This window comes from Homo sapiens, chromosome 15 (assembly GCF_000001405.40).
Source record: "Homo sapiens chromosome 15, GRCh38.p14 Primary Assembly".
In the NCBI taxonomy this organism is placed as follows: Eukaryota; Metazoa; Chordata; class Mammalia; order Primates; family Hominidae; genus Homo; species Homo sapiens.
Window position 1 is genome coordinate 20,937,689 of NC_000015.10, and position 25,941 is coordinate 20,963,629.

At 39.9% G+C, this 25,941-nt stretch overlaps 1 long non-coding RNA gene, 1 other non-coding gene and 1 pseudogene across 2 annotated transcripts in view; all 3 read left to right on the top strand.

Annotated features, from left to right (window-relative positions):
• The first annotated feature begins 2,563 nt into the window (after positions 1-2,563).
• On the top strand, positions 2,564-2,645 carry MIR5701-1 (microRNA 5701-1). Its single transcript, NR_049886.1, has one exon. It is a non-coding gene; the product is annotated as a microRNA 5701-1 (primary transcript).
• A 104-nt stretch (positions 2,646-2,749) lies between these two features.
• Positions 2,750-25,941, top strand: part of LINC01193 (long intergenic non-protein coding RNA 1193) — a 52,867-nt gene continuing 29,675 nt past the window's right edge. Inside the window, exons 1-2 of the long non-coding RNA NR_040094.1 lie at positions 2,750-3,078; positions 4,687-4,872. This is a non-coding gene — a long non-coding RNA (long intergenic non-protein coding RNA 1193). The remainder of the gene's footprint in view (positions 3,079-4,686; positions 4,873-25,941) is intronic.
• OR11J2P (olfactory receptor family 11 subfamily J member 2 pseudogene) lies at positions 22,974-23,919 on the top strand (annotated as a pseudogene).

Genomic DNA, 25,941 nt, shown 5'->3' on the forward strand with positions numbered 1-25,941 from the left:
CATATTATGTTAAATATACACATGTTCTAAGAATCAGAAAGCTGAAACACTGGAAGGAAATGTTTCATTAAGTAGCTACCCAGTACATTTGCCAATAGCCAACCAAATTTACCTCACGCACACACACAAATCAACATACTAAAAGTAAGGATTTCCAAACATATTTCCACTCCAAATTTAAAGTGAAAGTTTAAATAACATATAAACCATCTGACTGGATACAATTCAGCCCTAAAGCTAGAGTTCAGGGCCCCTTATCTTTTGTTCATTATTAATTTTAAAATTTTTGATGTATTTATTAGTATTTATGAATAACATAGTAACATTCCCATAGATTTGCAGAGATCAAATCGAGGTAATTAGCATATCCATAATCTCATTTATCATTTCTTTGTGCTGGGAACATTCAACATCCTCCTCCTAACTCTTTGAAACTGTGTAACATATTGTTGTTAATTACAGTCATCTTACAGTGCTATACAACACTAGAACTTGCTCTTCCTATCTAGCTGTAATTTTGAAACCTTTAACAAATTGCTTTCTACCATCCCTGCACCCTATGCTTCCCAGCCTGTAGTATTCTGTTCTACTTTTTACCTCTATGAGATCAACGTTTTTTTAGCTTCCACAAATGAATGAGAACACACAGTACTTAATGTTCTGTCCCTGGCTTACTTCACTTAATATGATGTCCTCCAGTTCAATCCATGTGCCTCAAACTACAGGATTTCATTCTTGCTTATGGCTAAATAGTATTCCATTGTGTATGTATACCATATTTTCTTTATGCATTCATCTGTTGTTAGATACTTAGGATGATTCCATATCTTGGCTATTGTGAATAGTGCTGCAATAAACACGGGGGTGCCGATGTCTCGTCAATATACTGATTTCCTTTTCTTTGGATAAATGTCCAATAATATATTGTTGGACCATATAATAGTTCTATTTGCAGTTTTTTGAGGAACCTCCACACTGTTCTCCATGGTGGCTGTACTAGTTTACATTTCCACTAGCCCCATTTAAGTGTTCACTTTTCTCCACATCTTTGCCAGCATTTGCTATTTTTTGTCTTTTTGATAGTAGCCATTCTAAGTGGGGTGAGATGACACCTCATTGTGGTTTTGATTTGCATTTCCCTGATGACTAGTGATGTTGAGCTTTTTAGGAAAACATATTTGTTGGTCATGTGTCTGTCATCTTTTAAGAAATATCTATTCAGGTCATTTGCCCATTTTTCAGTTGGATTCTTTTTTTTTTTTTTTTTTTGCTATTGAGATGTCAAGAGTTCCTTGTATATTCTGGATATTAATCCTCTGCTGGATACATACTTTGCAAATATTTTCTCCCATTCTGTAGGTTGTCTTTTCACTCTGCCAATTTCTTCCTTTGAATTAATATTAATTTTTTAAAGAAAAGTATCTTAAACGCTTGACAATATGGAATTAAAAATACAGTACCTTCAAGCTGGGTGCGGTGGTGCATGCTTATAGCTGCAGCTATCTGAAGGCTGAGGCAGAAGAGGATCGCGTAAGTCCAGAAGTTTGAGACCAGCCTGGGCAACATAACAGCAAGACTCAGTCTCTTTTTAAAAAATGGTATATTCAATTTGGGGAACATGCTACAAATCCTCAAAAAACGGGTACAGAAGAAACATACTGCAACACAATAAAAACCACATGAGAGACCCCCACAGCTAGAATCATATGGAATGGGGAAAAATGGAAAGCTTTTCCTCTAAGATCTGGAACATGATAAGGATGCCCACTGTCACCACTGTTATTTAACATAGTACTGGAAACCCTAGCTAAAGCAATCAGTGCAGCCCCTGATATGGCCCCCAACCCACCCTGCCCCCTTGCAACCAGCAGTGTAGCCCCCCCGCAATAGCGCACCCAACACACCCAAACCGCCCCGCCTCCCCGAACCACGGGCATTGCAGCACCCCATAGCACCCTCAACCTGAAACCACCACCCCCCCGCAACAGCCGTGCAGTGCAGCCCTGGATAGGACACTTAGCCCACCTCACTGTTGCCAGCAATACAGTCTGGGATAGTTTCCCCAACAGGCTCCCCGCCGGGGGCAGTGCAGCCCCGGTTAGGGCCCCCAAACCACCCCCGGGTGCAGGCAGCACAGCCCCAGATAGCACACCTAACCAGCCACCCAAGGTGGGCAGTGACGCCTGAGATAGGGCCCCCAACCCGTCCCAGGCCAAGGGCAGTGCAGCCCTGGATAGCGCACTTACCCCGACGCTTTTCTACACTCTGGCCGGTTGCAGTGTCCATCGCTGCCACCAACCGCAGCGGGCAAGGCAAGCCAGCGAGGCAAGGCGAGGCAAGCCGGCGAGGTGGTGAGCCAGGGAGGCCAGCCACAGCCCGGTAGGCTGCAGCCTCCAGCATGCAGTGGCTGGCACCTCCTACTCCAAGCTGGCAATGGAGCAGCTATGAAGTCAGATGCCGACGAGGCTGGAATAGTGCAACTCTAGCTCTTAACATGCTTTATATACCGAGATTATAAACTACATGTTCTGATTGGATGAGAGGAAAACACTAGGCCTACTCTGATTGGACTTTATTGTCACGTTCTGATTGGTTAGCCTAAGACTTGTTCTGATCCAATCAGAACATGAAAATAACGTCCAATCAGAGTAGGCGTAGATGTTTCTCTCATCCAATCAGAACGTGAAGTCCGAGAACCAGGCCTGCACAACCCCCCAGTATATAAGGTATGCTAAGGGGGCGTCGCGCTGTTGCAGGCTATCGTGTGTTAACCTGTACTTCTGCCGCAGAGTTTGGAGAAAGCGGCAGCAGATTGTGCTGCCGCAGGCTGGAGCCTGGAACCTGGAGCCCTGGAGCCTTGAATGGTGTGTGGTGGCAATGGAGAGAGGCAGCTGGCAGTGACAGCTGCTCCGTGCTTGGCTACAGGAAGGAAAGAAGGAGAAAGCACCTACCATAGGCTGGAGGCTAGAGCCTGCAGGACTGCGGCTGGCCTCGCTGGCTCGCCTCCCTGGCTGGCCTCGCTGTGGTTGGTGGCAGCGACGGATACTGCAGCTGGCCAGAGTGTAGAAAGGCAATGGGGTAGGTAAGCTATCCAGGGCTGCCCGCGGCGGGGGCTGGTTGGGGTATTATTCCAGGTGTCACTACTTTGGGTGTACTAGAGTGTTATTTTGGGCGTCACTGCTTTTAGGTGTGCTATCCGGGGCTGCACTGCCCTCAGCAGCGGGTGGGGGGGGGGTTGGTGGGGGGCGGGTTGGGGTCACTATCTTGGGCTGTATTGATGGCAGCAGTAGGGCTGGTTGGGGGCGCTATTGGGTGCTGCACTGCCCGCGACAGGGGCCGGGTTGGGGCTGCTATTGTGGTTGCACTGCCGGCGGCATGGTGGTGGGAGGGCTGGTTAGGGTGCGGACTGGTGGGGGTGCTTACTGGTCGGGCTTCATTGCCGACAGCGGGGTGGGGATGCTATCTGGGGCTGCACTGCCCATGGTGGGGGCTTGTTGGGGGCGCTATGTGGGGTTGCAATGTCCATGGCAGGGGAGAGGTTAGAGGCAGTATCAGGTGCTACACTGCTGGTGGTGGGGCGGGGCAGCGGTGGGTGCGGGTAGGTGCTTGGAGGGTGCGGTTTCGGGCGCTATCGGGCCAGACTGCCCATGATAGAGGGCAGGTTTGGGTGCGCTACTAGGGGATACACTCCTCACAGCAAGGGGCGGTTTGGGGGTGATACCCGGCCGGTGGCAGGCGGGGTGGTGGGGTGGGTTGTGGGCACCGTTCGGGGGCTGCACTGTGGTCAGTGGCGGTGGGGCGAGTTAGGTGCTCTATCAGCTGCTGCACTGTTTGTGGTGGGGGCTGGGTTGGTGTGCTATCGGGGACCATATTTTTGGCAGCGGTATACAGGTTAGGGGTGCTGTCGGAGGCTGCACTGCCCATGGCGGGGTGCGGGTGGGGTGCACTATCCAGGGCATCATTCCCCCTGGGTGGGGGACAGTTGGGGGTGCTATCTGCTATGTAGGGCTGCACTGCTCGTCGTGGGGAGGGGGTTGGGGACCTTAAGGATCCATGGCTGCACTATTGACGGCATGGAGCAGGTGGCCGTGCTCTCCGGGGCATCACTGCCCGCAGCCGGGGGTTAGTTGGAGGTCCTATCGGTGGCTGCATGGCCGACGGCAGACGGTAGGATGGGGGAGTTATCTGGTGCTGCGACGTCCGAGGCAGGGATGGGTTGGGGGCGCTATTGGGTTTTACATTGCAGCGGCGAGGGGCGGTGTTGGGGGCGCTATCCCAGAGCCAACATCAGGCAGCGGATTAGGGGCGCCATCAGGGGCTGCCTTGCTGGTGGCGGCAGAGCTTGCAGCAACAGGGTCTCCAAGGAAGGAGCCTTCTTCCTCTTTCTGGATTTCAGACTCTAAAAGGCGATCTCCTCCTGCTCCTGCTAGAGCGCAGCGAGCGCACGGCGTTTCCGCAGTAATCCTGAGCACGGCAAGGACCCCTTACCCGCCGGGGTTCCCGGGGCCATGCCCTTTTCGCTCTGTGTTGCGGAGACCACCTGGCACCCCTAGGCACGCTGGACACGGAGTGGCGGGGACACCACGGGGAGACAGGGCTCTGTGGGTGGAGGCATTGGGATGGGGAACCGGCATTTGGGTGGGAGGGCTGGCTGTGTCTGAGTTCCTGCTGATTTTGTTCCCCAAGGAGCGCAGTCCTGGTGGGCCCAGCGGTTCCTGTGGATTGGAGCCAGGCAGTGTGATGTTACCAGTCACCACTCCAGGTCCCAGTTCCTGGCCCGCTTGAGCCAAAAGGAGAGGCTGGACTTTGGAGGGTGGATATGAGTGCCTTCACTGAGACTGGCCCCTGCCACCCAGTGGCCAGGATGACAAGGTGAGGCTCTAACGCTATCAGTCTCTGCATTCTCCTCTAGGCTTTTTTGGCTGTGTGTGTCCAGCTGTTCCATGCCAGGAGGAGGAGGAGTTACATGCTGGAAGCTTGCAGATAGCCTGGGGCTGCTGCTCGCCTTGCTGCGGTTGGTGGCAGCTACCGAGACTACCTCGCACCAGAGCGGTAGGAGGACGGCCAGCTGTGGCCATGGCAGGGGCAGGGCTGCGGCGGTGGCCAGGTAGTAGGAGCTTTGTAGGGTGGGCCAGTGCATTGAGGGCAACAGCAGCGATGGTTATAGTGACATCTGCGCTAGTTGTGGCAGCAGCCGCAAGTCCAGGGGCCGGGAAGAGGGAGTAGGAGAGCTGCGGGGCCTGCCCGGCCAGGCCTAGGGTGGGTAGGAAGCTTCGGGTGCTGTACCACAGGCCTCGGTGGAAGTGGTGGAGGAACAGCCAGGGCAAGGAGGAGTTCTCCCCCTTCTCCTGCAGTCTCTGGAGGGCGACCTCCTCCTACTGGCGCATGAGCCCGGTGTGAGTGTCAGCATATTATCTCACTCTTTCTTCCAATATAATACAGTCATGCACTGCATAACAAGGTTTCACCAGTGATGGCCTGCATGTATCAGGGTAGTTCTATAAAATTATAATGAAACTGAAAAATCCTCATTGTCTACTGACAGCATAGCCGTCTTAACCTTGTAATACAACGCAATACTCACGTGTTTGTAGTGATGATGGCGTAAACAAACCTACTGAGCTCCTGGTTCTATGAAAGTATAGCGCATATAGGCCAGGCGTGGTGATTCACACCTGTAATCCCAGCACTTCGGGGGGCCAAGGCGGGCAGATCACGAGGTCAGGAGATCGACACCATCCTGGCTAACACGGTGAAACCCCGTTTCTACTAAAAATAGAAAAAATTAGCTAGGGGTGGTGGCAGGCCCCTGTAGTCCCAGCTACTCGGGAGGCTGAGGCAGGAGAATGGGGTGAACCCGGAAGGTGGAGCTTGCAGTGAGCCGAGATCGCGCCACTGCACTCGAGACTTGGCGACAGAGCGAGACTCTGTCTCAAAAAAAAAAAAAAAGTATAGCACATTTAAGTATACATAGTACATAAAAGTTGATAATGAACAACTATGTTACTGGTTTATGTGTTTAGTATACTATGATTTTTGACATTATTTTAGAATGCATTCCTTCTACTTACAAACAAAAAAGTTAACTAAAATAGCCTGAGGCAGGTCCTTCAGGAGCTGTTTCAGAAGAAGGCATTGTTACCATGGGAGATGACAGCTCCATGTGTGGTATTGCTTCGGAAGACCTTCCAGTGGGACGAGATGTGGAGATGGAAGACTGATGTTGATGATCCTGACCCAGTGTAGGCCTAGGCTAGTGTGTGTGTATTTGTGTGTTAGCTTTTACCAAAACGAAGTTTAAGAAATCTGTATGCTTATTTTTTGTTCTGAATACTTACCAAGATACAACTTACAGAGAGGAAGCATCGAGGCACCTGAGTGTATCTTTTTAACGCTGACATTATCATTGAGAAAAAAATTAAAACACAGAAAAAGCTATTTTTCTTAAGAAAAAGTTTCAGTGTTTTTAACAAATCTATGAATTGATTTGCAATTTCATGGTATCTTTATTGGTAATGTACCTTCAACAATGCAATCATGTGCACATACTTTACTGAGGAGGCACTTAACACAGGCTGAATCACCTATAGATATATTCAACTGATTACCTGTGCCTGTGAGAATACACGAGGTAAACTCTAATGATGTATCAATAAGTAGAAAGCTATGAAGCAAATTGAGACAATTATCTAAATCATCCTGTCAGAAATTCCCTTTTTATCTGGACTACTAGGCCAATAAAATATCATTAATTTCTGGAACCTGTGAAGTTTGCCTCTGTTCAGTTAATTAGGGAAATGAGTCTCTAAACAAATAAATAATGTAAACCAGCAGATTGTGGTCTCCACAAGAGTCAAAGGCAAATAACTGCTCTCAACCATTTGTAAATCCAGTCAAGGAAAAATAGTTTTGTCATAACGAAGAATATTTTATTATAAAATTTGTTATATGATATTGATTATATAAAATATTTTAACATCACGTTAAATTAATATGTTAAGGGAAATTAGATTTTGAAATGTTTTATTCTCATTGCTCTATCTTAACTGTATCTATTTGAATGTTCTAGTAGCATGTAGAATCTAATAAAATATCAACTATATAGGGACCTGAAAATACATTGTAGCTATTACTTATCTTTGCGTTTTCAATGTCAGAAAGTTCATTGTCATAGGTAATCTAGTAAGCAAAAGTTAATAATTTTTCTGAATTTAATTAATTTAAATAATTGTATCATGTGCATTAACCAGTTCATGTAATCCAAGTTAAATTTTACATGCCCTATGGCAAGAAGTTCTAAATCCCTAATGTACATCTCTAAAAGACCTGATTTCTTTCCCCAGACTTATCTCATCTTTTTATCTATCCATCTCTTTCTTCCACTAACAAAAAATTCTATCTCAATAGTTGTAAATCAGTTGTATCACTAGTCCCATTCCATCTATGAGAAAACTCCAGTTCAGGGATGTTAAGTGACTTCATTAATGCCCCACAGCTAATCAGTAGGAAATAACCAGGAGTGGAGGCTAGAAACCACTCCAGATCTATAGTCTTAACATTGCGCTATGTTTGCTGTGTACTCTCTGACATACAAGTCATAAAAGTATTTCTCAGTTCTCTGGGAAATTTCTACACTCCACTCTTGCTCAGCCTGTTCATATAACCAGAGCCCATCACTTATGTCAGCCTTTTGAGTTTTACAAATTTTGTTAAAATAAGATACCATTCCTGGTGCTTTTTCCAATTCTAAATAGAGTGATTTTTATTTTTGTGCAATTCTTAACCATTGGATCTATTCCCTTATTATGCCATTTGTCATTATTTACCAGCATTGTTTTTACATTTTTATAGGTATTCTCTTCTCTACTAATTTAGGGGCTCTTTGAAGATAATAATTACCTTGCTGTACTTTAAATACACCAAAATTTGTTATGATTGCTGAAGAAGTAAAAACAAAGTGAAAGCTACCAATTTTATTCAGTTCAAATAGTGGTATACCTCAGATATCGTGGATTCAGTTCCAGGCCACTGCAATAAAGCAAGTCAGACGGAAGTGTTTGGTTTCCCAGTGCATCTAAAGTTTATGTTTATACTACACTGTAGTCTAGTAGGGGTGCAATAGTATTATGTCCATCGTACCATTTCTGTCTATTCAATATATTGGCTATGGGTTTGTCATAAATAGCTCTTATTATTTTGCGGTGTTTCACCAATACCTAGTTTGAGAGTTTTTAACATGAAGGGATGTTGAATTTTATCAAAGGCCTTTTCTGCATCTATTGAGATAATCATGTGGTTTTTGTCTTTGGTTTTGGTTATGTGATGTATTGTGTTTATTGATTTGCAAATGTTGAACCAGCCTTGCGTCCTAGAATCCACCTGGTCTTGGGCTTTTTTTGATCAGTAGGCTATTAATTACTGCCTCAATTTCAGAACTTGTTATTGGTCGATTCTGGAATTCAACTTCTTCCTGAATTAGTCTTGGGAAGGTGTGTGTGTCCAGGAATTTGTTCATTTCTTCTAGATTTTCTAGTTTATGTGCATAGAGGTGTTTATAGTATTCTCTGATGGTAGTTTGTATTTCGGTGGAGTTAATCATTTTTTTGTGTGTCTATTTGATTCTTCCCTCATTTCTTCTTTATTAGTCTAGCTAGTGGTCTATTGATTGTGTATTTTTTTCAAAACACGAGCTCCTGGATTCATTGATTTTTTGGAGAGTTTTTATTTCTGCATCTCCTTCAGTTCTGCTCTGATCTTAGTTCTTTTTTTCTGTTAGCTTTTGAATTTGTTTGTTCTTGCCTTTCCAGCTCTTTTAATTGTGATGTTAGAATGTCAGTTTTAGATCTTTCCCACTTTCTGATGTGGGCATTTAGTGCTATAAATTTCGCTCTTAACACTGCTGTAGTTGTGTCCCAGAGATTCTGGTACATTGTCTCTTTGTTCTCATTGGTTTCAAAGAATTTCTTGACTTCTGCCTTAATTTCGTTATTTTTCTAGGAGTCATTCAGGAGCAGGTTGTTCAATTTCCATTTGATGGTGTGGCTTTGAGTGAATTTCTCAATCTTGAGTTCTAATTTGGTTGTGCTGCCGTCTAAGAGACTGTTTGTTATGATTTTAATTCTTTTGCATTTGCTGAGGAGTGTTTTACTTCTGATTACATGATCAATTTTAAGGTGCCACGTGGTGATGAAAAGAATGTATACTCTGTTGTTTTGAGCTGGAGAGCTCTGTAGGTATCTATCAGGTCTGCTTGATCCAGAGCTGAGTTCAGGTCCTGAATATCTTTGTTAGTATTCTGTCTCAATGATCTGTCTAATATTGTCAGTGAGGTATTAAAGTCTTCCACTATTATTGTGTGGGAGTCTAAGTCTCTTTGTGACTCTTTGCTTTATGAATCTGGGTGCTCCTATGTTGGGTGCATATGTAGATTAATAGAGTTAGCTCTTTTTGCTTAATTGAACCCTTCACCATTATGTAATGCCCTTGTCTTTTCTGATCTTTTTGGTTTAAAGTCTGTTTTGTCAGAAACTAGGATTGCAACCCCTTCTTTGATTTCTATTTGCTTGGTAAATTTTCCTCCTTCCCTTTATTTTGAGCCTATGTGTGTATTTGCACGTCAGATGGCTCTTTTCAAGGCAGCATAGTGATGGGTCTTGGCCTTTTATCCAGCTTGCCTTTCTGTGTCTTTTAATTGAGGCATTAAGCCCATTTACATTTAAAGTTAGTATTGTTATGTGTGAATTTGATCCTGTCATCATGATGCTAGCTGGTCATTTTGCAGAATTGTGCATGTGGTTGCTTCATAGTGTCCCTGGTCTGTGTATTTCAGTGTGTTTTTGTAGTGGCTGGTAACAATTTTTTCTTTCAATTTTCAGTGCTTCTTTCAGGAGCTCTTACAAGGCAGGCCTGAGGGTGACAAATTCCCTCAGGATTTGCTTGTTTGTAAAGGATCTTATTTCTCTTTAGCTTAGGAAGCTTAGTTTGACCAGATATGAAGCTCTAGGCTGGAAATTATTTTCTTCAAGAATGTTGAATATTGGCCCCCAATCTCTTCTGGCTTGGAGGGTTTCCACTGAGAGGTCCACTGTTACTCTTATGGCTTTCCCTTTGTAGGTGACCTGGACTTTCTCTCTGGCTGCCCTTAACATTCTTTCTTTCATTTCAACCTTGGAGAATCTGATCATTATGTGTCCTGGGATTGATCTTCTCATGGAGTGTCCTACTGGAGTTCTCTGAATTTCTTGAATTTAAATGTTGGCCTGTCTTGCTAGGTTGGGGAAGTTCTCCTGGATGATATCCTAAAGTATGTTTTCCAACTCGATTCCATTCTCCCCATCTCTTTGAGGTACCCCAATCAGTCGTAGGTTCTGTCTCTTTACATAATCCCATATTTCTTGGAGATTTTGTTTAGTCTTTTTTATTCTTTTATCTCTATTGTTTCCTGCCTGTTTTATTTCAGAAAGATAGTCTTCAAGCTCTGAGATTCTCTCCCCTACTTGTCTCCATTTTTCTCGGGAGGTATTTTAACAAAATTTAAAGAAATTACCACACTTTTTACAATTACTGTGTATGTTTGTGTTTATGTGTGCACGTGTGTGTATGATGAACCCAAGGAAAGAATATTCTAAAATGAGGACCAGTAATGTTATTTTCTATAGTTTTTTCTTAGTACTGAACCCAAAAAAGGAATATCGAGAATGTTTCAGACAGTAGAGTAAGATAGAGATAAATCCTACAATTGCCACTTATAATCTGGGTAACTTTGGGAAAATTACCTTTCTTTTGAACTTATTTTATTAACTTTTAGAATGAGAATAATAAAAATACCCTCCTCATAGGACTGTGGTGAAGATTAAGAGAACTAATTAATATAAAACACAGCATGGGGCCAAGCATATGGTAAGACCTTAAGGAATTTTATTTCGTTAATTATAAAACACACATTTCTCCCTACATTTTAACATCTCAGTAGAGAAAATGTCTTAGAATTTATGTTCTTATAGTTGATGAAGCAAGGATTCTTACCTAAATACATGATTTATAATTGAAACATAGTTTTTTGTTTAAAAATGTTAGAAATCAACACTATGAAATCAGATACCAATTCTGTCAGTGGGGATAGTTTGCAGTGAGGGAAATAAAATGGAGAATTTTGCAAATTAGGACAAAATTAATATATGTTCTCTTTATTTTGAGTTTATTCATATTTATTCCACAAACATTTGAATGGATAACCATGTGCCAAATTCTGTGTAGGACAAATTTCATAAGATGAATAACATATATTTGTCTTCAAAGATCTAACACATGTTCATGGAAGACAACAGAACCATATAAGTACAGCATCAGTTATAAATATCTAAGCTAATTGTTTACATAGAAGCAAGACTTAATTCATAGGAGAGGAGAGGGTGGGGAAAGACAAAATGAAAGATGTGATTTCTGAACTAAGTCTCAACAGACTGGTAACATGAGTCAGGTGAAAGGTGAGAGGAAGTACGCTCTAAAAGGAGGAAATAAAAAAGGACTTGGGAGAAGAAGAGAGAAGAATCTCTCTTAGGAAACTACATGATATTTAATTTGGATGAAATATTTGCAGAAGGAGTAAAAATTCTAAGCTAGAAGTTTAAGAAGGGTCAGCTTACGGAGGACCTTGCCTGGTTATGCTGATGGGCTTAAACTGTGGCAGGAGTTAAATGAAAATACTCTGGAACAGTTTAAAATGGAGGGGTGATACACTCACAATTTTATTTCCAAACTGTTGTTCAGAATGAATTAAAGTGGATAGGATTGAAGACAAAGAGGATGGTTAGGAGCTTATTGTGATCATCATTAACAGTGGTATTGCACATGTAGTAAAATGGGCAGATTTGAAAGATTATGAAGGTGATAGAATCTATAGTACTTGATGATTAATGGAATGTGAAATAGAGATAGAAGTTAAGTTGTAATAACCACATCTCAGTTCAAATGATAAACAAATGCCATGCAGATCTAGAGCAGGGGCCATGTTCCCAAACAATTTGCCTGAGCCATTGTGCCTAACACAGTGCTGAGTCCACAATAAGCCAATGCCAAACAGTTGTGCATTGATATATCATCCATTCTTCTGGAAATTCTTTGAGGATTTCACATACAGATGTCCATATTGAATTAATACATAATTATCAAGAGAAAAATAGCCCTGAGTCAACATTCTAGAAATGTTCAATTGTCTAGAGTGGATTTTCTCATTGTCCTTTTCCATAACAACATAGTGACTTGGAATATAACGTGGCACTAAAAAATAGAAGAATAAAAAGGGTCTTTGAAGCAATTCCTTTTTATCTTGCTTTATTCTTAACAGCAGTTCTCTGGTCTTAATTCTTTTATGGTTCCAGGAGAATTACATTTCAAATTCCGTAATTGCACAGGAGAATTGGAGTCTTGTAAAAATTTAGAATACTTCGTTCAAAGGCAACTTTTATTATGAACTGAACCTATGCTGTGATGCAGCCAAAGAAATTGTTTAGAGCATCATTAAAATAACCTTTTTAATAAGACCACTTTCTCTTGAAAAAGTGTAGTACCCTCTTATTTAATATTACCATATTACAATTGACTGTATGTTTGCTGAAAGTCTTAGAGTATGGTATTTAGTTTATTGAACTAGCACAAAATATACATGAACTTTATCAGTTTTCATTTTCCCTTTAACAAACGAAGAACAATATTAAATGACATTTTATGACATTTGATAGGTATTTAAAATTTGTTATTGCGGCTCTTCAGTGAACCATAAAATAACAAGTGTCACAATATGGCTGTGCTTTCATTATGAGAAATGCAAGCAGGAAACATTTAAATCAGCATCATTTTCCATCAATGTTTTGCTCCTGATTCTCTGCCAAGTTCATTATCTCCTCTGTGCCTAAATTTGTCCATATGAAAAATTAGGAGAAAAAAGAATAAATTAATACTTGCCTCTAAAATGATCTGAAACCCAGGTATGGAAAATCTTACACAAGTTTAAAAGACTGGTTTATTCACTACTGTCCTCATTCGTTTGAACAGACCGCAATGTTCTGTGGGAGAGTAGCTGAGAGACTGATGCAATAATAGTCCTTTTCACACCTTCCATCCAGAAAGACAATTTTTTTATTTGCAGCTGAAGCTATTATATCCAGAGCCTATGGCTGTTTGCCTCTTCTAAAGTTGGAAATTTTGAAAGAGAAACAGCAAGTAAAATGTGAAAATGTCCTCTGGGATATTATTTTATTACTACATGTCCCTTATTTAGCAAACTATATGCAATATAAAAAATTAAGTCTGGTGCCTGGTTGGCAAAAAATCAAATAACAGGTACTAAAGAAATAATGATGAGCTAACCTAAGCTCTGTGTGTGTGTGTGTGTGTGTGTGTATGTGTGTGAGTGCGCGCACGCCATAAAGCCAAGGTGGAGAGGTGAATAAAAAAGTCATTAGAGGAGAGGGAAAAGCCATATCGCTTGAAAAAAGCACCATGGTATCATGGTAGAAGAATGGGCTTTAGACGCTGGCAAGCTTGGGTTTCAATTATGGCATTTTGTAGTGCGCTATTTATTTCTGAGCATTAATTTCTACAATGAAAAAATACATAATACCATAGGGTTTGAAGGATCAAGTGAGATGATTGAAATAAAGTATGAATCAAGATGTCTGTCATTAATTCTCTCTTTTAATCATGGGAGCTATTGACAATGCAAAAGTGTACCCAGTATAACAGTAGAATGATAGTGTATCTCTTGAGATAACGTGTCAGGTTGTTCGCTAATGCCTTTTTCATAGAAATATTGTTGAGCTGCCTTCACATAGATAGAACATCTGGGTCACAACCACTTTGCAGAAAAGCTACCAGGTACAGCTTTTTGAAATTGCCTGCCTGGGTTTAAATTACAGTCTTGTAGTAACTCTTTGGTGCATTTTAGTAACTGCTGAACCGTGTGATGTTGAGTCAATCACATTGATTGGAAAGGAAATTTAACGCATCAGACAAGGGAAAGTTACTAAGGTTAGTTGACATAGAATGCTCTTAAGTTAGTTCATGGTAAGTTATGCAAGTAGAGGAGATCATAGATAACTAAATAGGCAAACTGCAAAAAGACTAGCAGAAGTTGGCCAGGCATAGTGGCTCACGCCTGTAATCCCAGCACTTTGGGAGGCCAAGGCAGGTGGATCATGAGGTCAGGAGTTCAAGACCAGCCTGTCCAACTTGATGAAACCCTGTCTCTACAAAAATATAAATTAACCAGGCATGGTGGCTGGCACCTGTAATCCCAGCTACTCAGGAGGCTGAGGCAGGAGAATTGCTTGAACCCAGGAGGCAGAGGTTGCAGTGAGCTGAGATCGTGCCACTGCACTCCAGCCTAGGCAACAGAGTGAGACTCTGTCTCAAAAAAAAAAAAAAAAAAAAAGACTAGCAGAAGCACATCAGTTGTTACTATTCTGTAGCAAGTTCAACCAGAATGTATCTCTTTGCTGTTCTCACAGCAAAAATTATAAATGTTTGAGGTGATGGATATGCTAATTACCTTCATTTGATCATTACACAATGTATACATGTATTGAAGCATCATATTTTATCCCATAAATATGTATAATTAGTATGTCAATTAAAATTAAAAAATAACGATAGCAACAACTATTACTCCCTTATATTACACTACTACAAGCGCTTTGTTTATAGCTTATATCCTTGGGAACCTTTTTTCTATTGCATATAGAATGTATGATACAGTCTGTGCTAAATGTCATAGAGCTTTTACAAGCCAGATAAAATTTGAGTGTACAGTTAAGAGGTCAAAAAGCCATCTGCCACAATGTAGAGCCCATCTCAGGAAATTAGGATATAAAAATTTTCCAGCAAATGATTTGTAAGAAGTCATGAGTTTTATGGGGAATAACTGGTTAGCCTGGTAACAGATCTAGTGAGTTCTGAAGAATCATATATCCCATCTATGCCCATATTGAAATAGTGGCAGTGCTAGGTTTGTTCTATAATGCATTGTGGGTAGCTGTTGCAGCCTTCTCCTACTCCATATCTTTATTTCATGTGGTCACTGACCTTATATTATTAAGTGTGTACAATATAGATTTAAAGGGTAGACATTGGGTCACCTTTGATGAAAGAGTCTTACTTCAAGAATATGTACCGTATTCTCTCAACTGACAGTAATTAATGTCACTGATATGGACAGTATTCATATCACCATAATGAAGCCATAAAACATTGTGGCTAAAATAATTTGTGAAGCTCATTTTGAAGAACTTGTGAAAAGCTAGGCCTTGGTGCCAAGGATAGAGAGAAAAGCAACAGTAATGAGGAAAGCACTGACACCTCTTTGGAGGAAAATGTGGCCATATTGACCAAAATTTAAAGTGTGCACACTTAGGCCAGGTGTGGTGGCTCACGCCTATAATCCCTGCACTTTGGGAGGCCGAGGTGGGTGGATCACTTCAGGTCAGGAGTTTGAGGCCCGCCTGGCCAACATGGTGAAATCCCATCTCTACTAAAAATGCAAAAATGAGCCGGGTGTGATGGCAGGTGCCTGTAGTCCCAGCTATTCAGGAGGCTGAGGCAGGAGAATCGCTTGAACCCGGGAGGTGGAGGTTGCAGTGAGCTGAAATCATGCCACTGTATTCCAGCCTGGGTGGCAGAGAGAGACTCTGTCTCAAAAAAAAAAAAAAAAAAGTGCACAGTTTATGACTCAGCATTTTCACTTTCAGAATATTTCTTTCAGATATTGTGTATTTTGCAAATTTCTACATAAATTAATAAGCTTTCAGCATTATTTGTCATAGCTGAATCTTGGAAACAAATACGTCTATTAATAGGTGACTGAATCAATAAATCATGTTACATTTAGAGAATGAAAAACTACACAGCCATTAAGAATTAAGATAGATGTATACATTTTGATAAGAAGCAATATGTCCAAGAAGTAGTTCTAAGTGAAATAAAGTACAGAAATGTGTGATTAGTACGCTATAATTTATTTAAAAACGTGCTTACAAAGTAATGATAAATGATTGAGGTGACAGATATCCCAATTACCTTGATTTGGTCACTACATACTATATACCTGTATCAAAATAACACGTGTACCTTGTAAATATGTAAAACTATTACCTGTTAATATTATGCATTATGTAAATTAAAAATTAAATGCCCAAAGCCATGTGTTTATACACATATTTGTAAATGCACTGATTATCTATATGTGACTTAGGAATAGCAGTTTTCTTTTAGAAGAACTGAGGGTCTTGGGTGGGAGAGCTATCTTACTGTCTAAAAATACTATTCAATATTTATTTTTTTCTATGTGGCTGGATTACTTAAGTAAAAGAAAGCTTTGAAGGCAAAGCTAGTGTACTGTGTGTTTCACTTAGGACATCACTTAAGACAAACCAATAGTTTAACACAGGAAGATTGTTATTGATGATTGGAACATACTAAAGTAAAAAAATCTGTCCTCACATTCTTTTCATTTCTTCCTATAAGCAATAAAAGAGATTCTTACCCTTTTGTTCAAATTGAAATCTCCCCCTTCACATTCTGTATTCCATCCTCTACCACAGTTACAGGGAGCGAGTACCTTTGCTTACCACCTTTCTCTCCTTTCCCTGCTCAACCTTACCTTACAAAAACAAAAACATAATTCTTCCTTGATCTAACATCCCCCTTCAGTTTTCATCTCTCTCCTCTCCTTTAGCCAAGCCCCATGTCTATACCGGTTCTCTGTATCTCTCATTGTCACTTCACTCCTCAGCCTACAGCAATCTGGTTTCCTTCTCCACAATGTCTCTGAAATTTTGCCAAAGTCACCAGTGATTTCTATGTACCTAAATCAAATGGTTACTTGTAAGTTCGTGAATTGTTTGACTTTTTAGCAGTGTTTGACCAGACTGACAACTCTCTAAATGAAAATTCAAAGAAAATCCCATTTTCTTTGCTTATTTTCTTCTGTTTTTTTTTCCCTCTTTATTTACTTTTCCTGTTTCTTTTTTGGTATTTTGCTTCTCCACCTATCCACTATATATTTATTTGTGCTTATTATGGCATTGCTGGTGGCTTGACGTTAGACACTCTGCTCTTTTCTCATACATATTTCTTAGGCAGTATTTCTTAGGAAGTATATACCCACTTCAGGTCCAAATGCCCTTTCTGTGCTAGCAGCTTCTAATATCTAATATATCTATTACCCTCTCCTGAGCTTGAGACTTTTCTGTCCAATCGCTGACTGGTTGTCTTTACTTGGATATCTCAGTGACACATAGTTGACCATGTGTACAAGTGAACTCATTGTGTTACCTCAAATTTTCCCTTCTGGGGTTTGCTATGTCACAAATTAATTACTTTTTGGAGGCAGATTTCCTTACTGTGATATCAAGAGTGAGTGAAAAAAGTGTCTGGTGAATAGTAGTTATTTCACAAATATTTATTGACTCAAGGATTGAATCAATTAATGATACCATGTATGATAAATATCATCAAATGTATAGTACAGAACATTTTGAAACATTTAAGATATTGAAAGACAAGACACCGAAAGTGCAGATTATCCTAATGTGGTAAAATTATGCTACCTCTCTAAGGATGACTATGAATAACAAGGAAAAAGAGTTAATCAAGCATTAATTCCCTGTTAAATTTCTTTCTGCTTAAAATATTTGGAGTTGTTTTTCTATCTTGTACTGAACTCTGATATGTATAGCAATGTATGTGTGAAATCCTGTGATTCAAGGGTAGAAACTAAATTAAAAAAAGGGAAGAATCAAAATTTAACAAAGTAGCTAATCTTTCTGAGGGCAAGTTGTCAAAATTTTGGCAATGGTGTTGAGTGTATGCAGTGTATGCATGACCAATATCCAGAAAGGGGTATCCTGGAAGAGGTTGTATATAGTACTCATCTTCACTCAGTGAATTTTTGACTGAAGGAAAATTTTTAAAAAATTTATTAGATACAAAGTAAGAACCCATGGTCCTGTGGGCTTTCTAAGGTAAAAAGACAAAAGGCAAGAAAAGATCTTTGCATCAAAGAGCTTAAAGTATTATAGTTAATTTAAACATATAGTTGTTTTACATTCTTTTAATAAAGGTTTAATCATATGCTTACATGAAGAACAAAGGAAGCTTAAATGTTGTAGTTGTTACTCTGTTCACCAGTATTTTGTTTTTCCTCCTGAGTGCATGATAGAATTGTACCTCCCTGACACTTGGAAATTAGGTGTGACCAAAAGACTACCCTGATTTGCCTATCGATTTCTGAATAGATGTAATGGCATGCAATTTTCAGATGGAAGTTGTAAGAGCTAGTGTGTGATTTGCCTAAGAAGGATGGTGACATTTTACTGCAGAGATAGAAAGTGAGGGCATATGGGCAGAAAGACCAGCATTAGCAAACCCATGGAAGACAGGGATTGAATTTATAGACATAGAGATACCTGAAACAGGGCAGCAAAATAATATTTTCAAGAACATGTTTTCTATCAATATTTCTAATTTAATTTTATAGCATCTAAGAAAGTGATATACCACTCACATAAAGTCTTAAACGCTCTACATTTTAATTAAACTTTAATTATATCTTTTAATTTCCATGGCTGGCTTTAAATTAAATTTAATTCTACTTACCAGGATTTTAAGAGCTTCTGAATTTGTCCTATCCTCAACTTTCTGCAACTGGGTTTACAGCTGTATTTTCTCACTACTGTTAATTGAATGCTGATGGTAGGGATAGTTCTTACTATTTTTTCCCCCTGTAACTATGTTCACTTAATTCAAGGTCCTCAGGTCTCTGTAAACCTTTGCATTCAAAAAACTAAAAAACTCCACACTGCTTCCTACTGCTAAAGGTTTTTCTTATTTCTGCCCCACAGGTTTTGGCTCAAGCTAAAGGAAGGATTGTGCTTGCCGTGAATGTAGATAGGCACAAGATCATATATTTCAAAGGAAATCATATTCAAATTCAAATACAACCTAATGGTGATCTTGTGGTAAATGTATCCACTAACACTCACTTTCTATTCCTTCCTAGTAATTGTTCAGTCTCCAGAAATTATTTCCGTAATTTATTCCTGTTATTTCAGAATTGAGTCTTTGAAGGGAATAAGCCCACTGAATTATATGTTGATACAGCCATTCACAAATTGCTTTTTTAATACATTCTTCAAAATGTAAAAATGTTGGTTTCAATTGGTCACTTTCTTCTCCAAACAATTTTTTTAAAGTGGATCAAACATGAAATAAGTTTATTTCTTTCTTTATTTTTTTGAGACGGAGTCTCGCTGTCACCCAGGTTGGAGTGCAGTGGCGCAATCTTGGCTCATTGCAACCTCTGCCTCCTGGGTTCGAGCAAGTCTCCTGCCTCAGCCTCCCGAGTAGCTGGGATTACAGGTGTGTGCCACCACACCCAGCTAATTTTTGTATTTTTTAGTAGAGACAGGGTTTTGCTATGTTGGCCAGGCTGGTCTCGAACTCCTGACCTTAAATGATCCACACACCTCGGCCTCCCAGAGTGCTGAGATTACAGGCATGAGCCAGCATGCTGGGCCAAAAGAAGTTTATTGCTCACTTAAAATCTGAATGGGTGCTCCTGATTGGCAGGTTCTTCAAGTGCTGATTCTGGAATTCAGGACTTCTCTTTGACTTCATCATCTTCATAAATGTCTTTCAATGTCATTGTGCTCAATGGTATCAAAAATCATCAAGGCCCTTATATGGGTAGGGCCTGAAGTGTTGCACAGCAGTTTTAATTGTTTTCTCTGAACTAGAACTCGGTCACATGACCACACCTAACTCCAAAGGGGACCCAGAAATGTGATCTACACTTGAAAAAGAGGAAATGGATTTGTCTTTTTCACACAATTGATATCTTAACTTCTGGGTTGACTAACATCTACCTTGTTTGATCTATATGTGGAGAAAAAGAGTTTATAAGAAATAAAGATGGGTAGCTCTGTGGATTTCTGGGCATAAGATCCTTCTGGATTTAGTGGGCAAGATCTTCAAACTGCCAATTGGGCAACATGGATGAAAAATTTTGGGTCTTGTGAATAATTTAAAAAGCAAAGAAAAAGAAACTTGACATTTTGGAGACAAACCTGTGTGAGTGTTTTATTGGTACAAACGTATTTAACACTAGGGGTTTTGTACAATTTTTTGCCTTTTCTACTAGAAAACAATGTAAAGTGATTTCACAATGTGAAGAGAAAAAAAAATTGCCGCTGTGACCAAACGCACAGTCTGTTGTGCAGCAACAATGGGCTTTGATCAACTCAGTCGTGATTCAGCTGTAGAAATGCTTTTCCTTCACCTTGTTTGAGCTTTTCCTTTCTTTCCTGTTTTGATTTGCAAAAGAAAATGTCTTTTTTGTGTGAACTTGTGTTGTACTCTGTAGAAAATTACGGGTTTTACTTTAATGGTTTAAGAAAAAAAGCAGGAAGAGCCCTCGTCGCTTTTCTTACCTCATCACAGAGTTTGTGTAGTGAATTTAAAAAGAGAAAAAAAATTGTTACATATTTGGAGCAAGGGAGTATGTTTTTCAAAAGAACCTCCTTCCTTTTTTTGTGTGTTTTTCCTTTTGTCCCAATGGGGAATCTAAATCTGTTTTAACTGCACAGACACATAGACAAAAAGTCATTTTTTATCTGCCAAGTGTGGTACCTTTGTTTATTTGTTATTAAACTGTTTAGACCCAGAATTTTTTTTTTCTTCTCAGTTTCTGAGATTAACAAAATTTGAAGGTAATGGTGCCTCTCATGGCAGAAAAAGTTTGTTAGCGCAAAGATAATTTATTAAGATTAGGAGAGGAAACTCTGGAAGGAATACTGCTATGTTAACAGCCTGATCTGTGTGTGTGTAAGTGTGTGTGTGACTGCACATGAGCGTGTATGCATATTATGTAGTTTTTGTCTCCAATATGATTATCTCTGAAGATGAAACATACTCAAGCCTGCATAATGCACGTTAATTGCCCCCACTGGTCCCAGGATTGAGATCTCCAGAGACAGAGCCTCAGACTCTGGAAGGGATAAGTAATGAGGAATGGGGAGATTTGTGGCATGTTCTACATCTGAGTAAAGCCTGAAAGGGGCCTTTGTAAAGAAAAGAATCAAAAGGTGCCTTACTTAGAGGCTATTTGACTCCCGGGCAACATTTAGGATATGGAATTATGGGCAGGTGGAGCAGTAACTTTTCTGTATCTCGAAGTCCACTTTGTTTCAGATGTTGGTATAAAAAGGAGCATAAATTTTCATGACTATTTTCCTTCACAAACAGCTTTATTATTAGGCTTATTAGACACAGAATTAAGAAATTTTGTCAAATAGTAATTTTGTCCTTGCAGATTATCTTCAAAAGGATTATATTCTTAGAAGACAGGAAAATGGGAGTCATTGCTGCCTGTCTAACTAGTTCAGGCTTAATTTGCTAGTCAATGAAAAACAAGATGTACTAGAAGAATGAAATGTTCAAAGCTTTATGGAAACAGCATTTTGCAAGACCATTTGGTGCAGGTTTGGGCAATAATTTGGACTAACTCTCTTGTTTATTCTCTTTCACACAGATACAGCGTAGCACATATTCACTCATTGTGTGTGACTTGGAGAGAAAACTTTGTAGGTGGTAGCTAATTTATTTCATGAAATTTAACATTCTGATTCAAAAGAGTCAAAAGAAAAAAGGACTGGGGAATCTAAGAGATATCCAACATGACCCTTCAGTAGGCTAATCTTTTGGTACAGAAAGGTCCTCAATGCACAATTACTGTGCTGAAAGTGGATCTCGCCTGTGAGATACCCCATGCAGAGGACTATCTGTGGCAAATGGAAAGTGAAACCTTGCTTTTTTTTTTTTTTTTTTTCCTTGTCCTCGTTCTCTGCCTCTTGGGCAGAATTTAATTACCTCTGTCCCTTCCCTGGTATTTGTTTGTATGTAATTGCCCCAGGTCAAGCTTTTTACACTTTTTCCTTGGGCTATTGAAATAATTTCCAAATTTTTCTGCTAATTTTATTAACCTGCACCAAATGGTCTTGAAAAATGCTGTTTTCATAAAGCTTCAATTATTTCATTCTTCTACTTAATACATCTTGTTTTTCCTTGACTAGCAAATTAAGCTTGAACTAGTTAGACTGGCTGGCAGCAAGTCCTCTGCCATGTGATTACCGTATATTTATACCTTATGTCTCACAACTTTTTGCAAGTACACTTGTACTATTTTATACTCTTCTCTGGGTATAATTTTTTGTATCCAAATCTTTCTACATTTTTATTATATGCAAATAACATTTTCCCGCCATCGTTATGGAAAATTCTATATTTTGTCAACGTTCATTTTCTTCTCAAAAGCCTTTTGTTATTATTTCCAAATGAATATTATGTGTGTCTCAGACAACCACAGAAAGTTTTGTTTTTGTCACATTCTACTGCTACTGTGTCAATGGCAGCATTTTGATATAGGTGGAGGGACGCTCACATCAACCCCATAATTTGTGTCAGCTTCTCCTGAAGTTATCAGAAGCATACAATTTAAGTAAAAACAGTATCTTCGCTATCCAAATGATGTTCCAAGGTAAATCTCCTCAGATCCCTTCCAGTACATGTATGCTCCAAGGCCTGCCCTATGTAGAACTTTTGGAGCCATCAACGTACTGCTTGAGGTTGCTTTGAACAAAAGGTATTTGACATAAGCTCTATAAGATCAGGGACTCTTTTTTATTTTATTCATTGTTCTTTATCTTCTAGAGCAATAATTTGCAAAATGACTATTTATTGAATAAACTAGGACGGAGGTGAAAAGGAAAGAACAGCTCATCCTTCCAAGGGGAAGAGAGCAGTATCCCAAATCCAAATTGAAGAAAATAAACATATATCTATTCACCAGAAGAGATAGAAGGGAGACAGGGCAGAATTTCTGTGGTTCTTACTATCTCTGTCACCTCTACAGGCCAAACCAGTGAGGACCTTGGAGACTACTAATATCACTGGATTTGTGAATGAGTTCATCCTCTTGGGCTTCCCCTGCCGCTGGGAGATCCAGATCCTCCTTTTTGTGGTCTTCTCTCTCATCTACCTTCTGACCCTCCTAGGTAACACATCCATCATCTGTGCTGTGTGGTCAAGCCAGAAACTCCACACACCTATGTACATCCTACTGGCCAATTTCTCCTTCCTGGAGATCTGCTGTGTCAGTTCTGACGTGCCCATAATGGCAGCCAATCTCATCTCCCAGACACAGAGCATCTCCTGTGCTGGCTGCCTGCTCCGGTTCTACTTCTTCTCCATGTGTGCTGCAGAGTGCTTATTTCTGTCAGTGATGTCTTTTGATAGGTTTCCTGCCATTTGTAGACCTTTGCACTATCCCACCTTAATGACCCATCACGTTTGTGCTCATTTTTGTGATCTTCTGCTGGGTGGGTGGCTGTCTCTGGTTATTGACCCCTTTGACACTAATATCTCAGGTGCTCTTTTGTGGTCCAAACACTATCGACCATTTTTTCTGTGATCTGGCACCTTTGCTGGCACTGTCTTGTGCTCCAATACCTGGAATTACTCTGACTTGTGGTATCATTAGCGCTCTCATCATCTTTCTTACCTTCTTGTATATCCTTGGGACTTATTTCTGTGTTCTAAGCACAGTGCTACAGGTGCCTTCAGGCTTAGGAAGGCATAAGGCTTTCTCAACTTGTGGCTGTCACCTTGCTGTAGTGTCTCTCTTCTATGGTTCTCTTATGGTGATGTATGTTAGCCCAGGTTCTGGGGACTATCATGGGATAAAGAAATTTGCGACCTTGTTCTATACTTTGTCAACTCCATTCTTTAATCCTCTGATCTACAGTTTCCGGAACAAGGATATGAAAGAGGCACTAAAGAAATTTCTGAGGAATCGCCACACTGTCGATTGAACCAGTGTGGTGATTCCTCAGGGATCTAGAACTAGAAATACCATTTGACCCAGCCATCCCATTACTGGGTATATACCCAAAGGACTATAAATCATGCTGCTATAAAGACACATGCACACATATGTTTATCGCAGCACTATTCACAATAGCAAAGACTTGGAACCAACCCAAATGTCCAACAACGATAGACTAGATTAAGAAAATGTGGCACATATACACCATGGAATAGTATGCAGCCATAAAAAATGATGAGTTCGTATCCTTTGTAGGGACATGGATGAAGCTGGAAACCATCATTCTCAGCAAACTATCGCAAGGACAAAAACCAAACATCGCATGTTCTCACTCATAGGTGGGAATTGAATAATGAGAACACTTGGACACAGGAAGGGGGACTTCACACACTCGGGCCTGTTGTGGGTTTGGGGGGGGAGGGATAGCCAAAAAAATTTATGTATGTGTTATAGTAGGAAATTTCTAAAGGATCCAAGAGGCAAATTTAATATAATTCATCATTAATGTTTAGAAGGATGAAAGATGATGAGACCAATGAGATCATGCTTTTTTCCATTTTATTCTACTTTTATATATTGGGAAGATAATTTGAAAGAATTAATTGGACCCATGGTTTCAGTCTTAGGAAGTTATTACTATTATGGTCCAGATATGTTTGTACCTTAAATAGATTTTTTTATTTTTGCAATTCTACTTAATATTTTCATCTATTTCTCTAAAACTGAGCTTCTGCTTACTCTTTTGGTTTTCAGTACATACTGTTTGGTATGTTTCAACATCCTCAGATTCTGCCTTCATTGAAGCAAGTTGTTTCATTTTTTTTGAGAGCATAGCAATGGTTGAATGTATTGCAACTATACAAATAGTTTTCCACTGATCCTTCAAATTACCAGATTAAAACACACACACACATACACACCCCCAAAACTCTCAACAATTCAGGGACAATTTTAAGCTCTGCCTTTTTATTCTTTATAATTTGAAGTATAACTTCTGGGGCTAACAAGGGCCTTCAATAATATTATGTTGACTTGATTGACACCTCACATTTTGCCAATGCTAACACTTTGGCATATGTAGACACAAGAAGGTCAGGTGATGCCCAGTGCAAACCAAAGAGCCATAGAATCTGTGAGATCGCTGACAATCTAGGCCTACTAAGCACTTTTTTGTGTGTGTAGTTCTTCATTAAACTCTGGAAAAGTGTTCCTCGGGTAAGTTCTACCCTCTAATTTATTTTTTTGAGTAGCAATTTATTAATTTGCAGTACTGCACTCCATGAGGAAATCTTGTGCTAAATCTTGATTCTGGGGTAACTCCAGCACTGACTTTACTACCAAAGTGTAGTTAAATATTTGCAGCATTCTGCTGGATATTTTTACATGACGATCTATTTCAAATTCAAATGTCTAATCCTAAATTTGTTAATCTCCTTTTAAATTAGCTCTAGCCATCCTTATTTTCTCATGGATCTGTTGATTTATAGCATGAACTTGAAATCTTGACAGTAGAATTCCTTACCATCTCATTCCCACTTCTAATCTGTCATTAAACAGATTAGGCATCTTCCCTGGGATCATTTGTCATCTTTACGCTCGTCTTTTCTGTGCAGGTTCCTAGCACTCCATATCTGTGATGGCATAATCACTTCATAAATGGTCTGTCTCTGTTATCTCCCATGTCAAATTCCAGAATTATGTTCTTGAACCTCCATCACTTATTTTCTCTCTACCTAAACACAGGAAAAAATCCCAAATTCTTTAGCTTGTAAATGTTTTTAGGTTCTGAATTTCTTCTTAAACTTTATTTTTACCTTAATATATGTCTCATCACTCCCATTTGACTCACTCTCTCTAATTCACAGAGTATAATCTTAGTTTTACAACCTGAGCTTAAAATTGTTCTATTCATACCTTGCCCATGTTTAGATGCCTCATACGAAACTTTCCTTGCCCACTGCAGTATATCATAATGTTATTTTCTAAGTTCATTGCCTTTTGAGTTT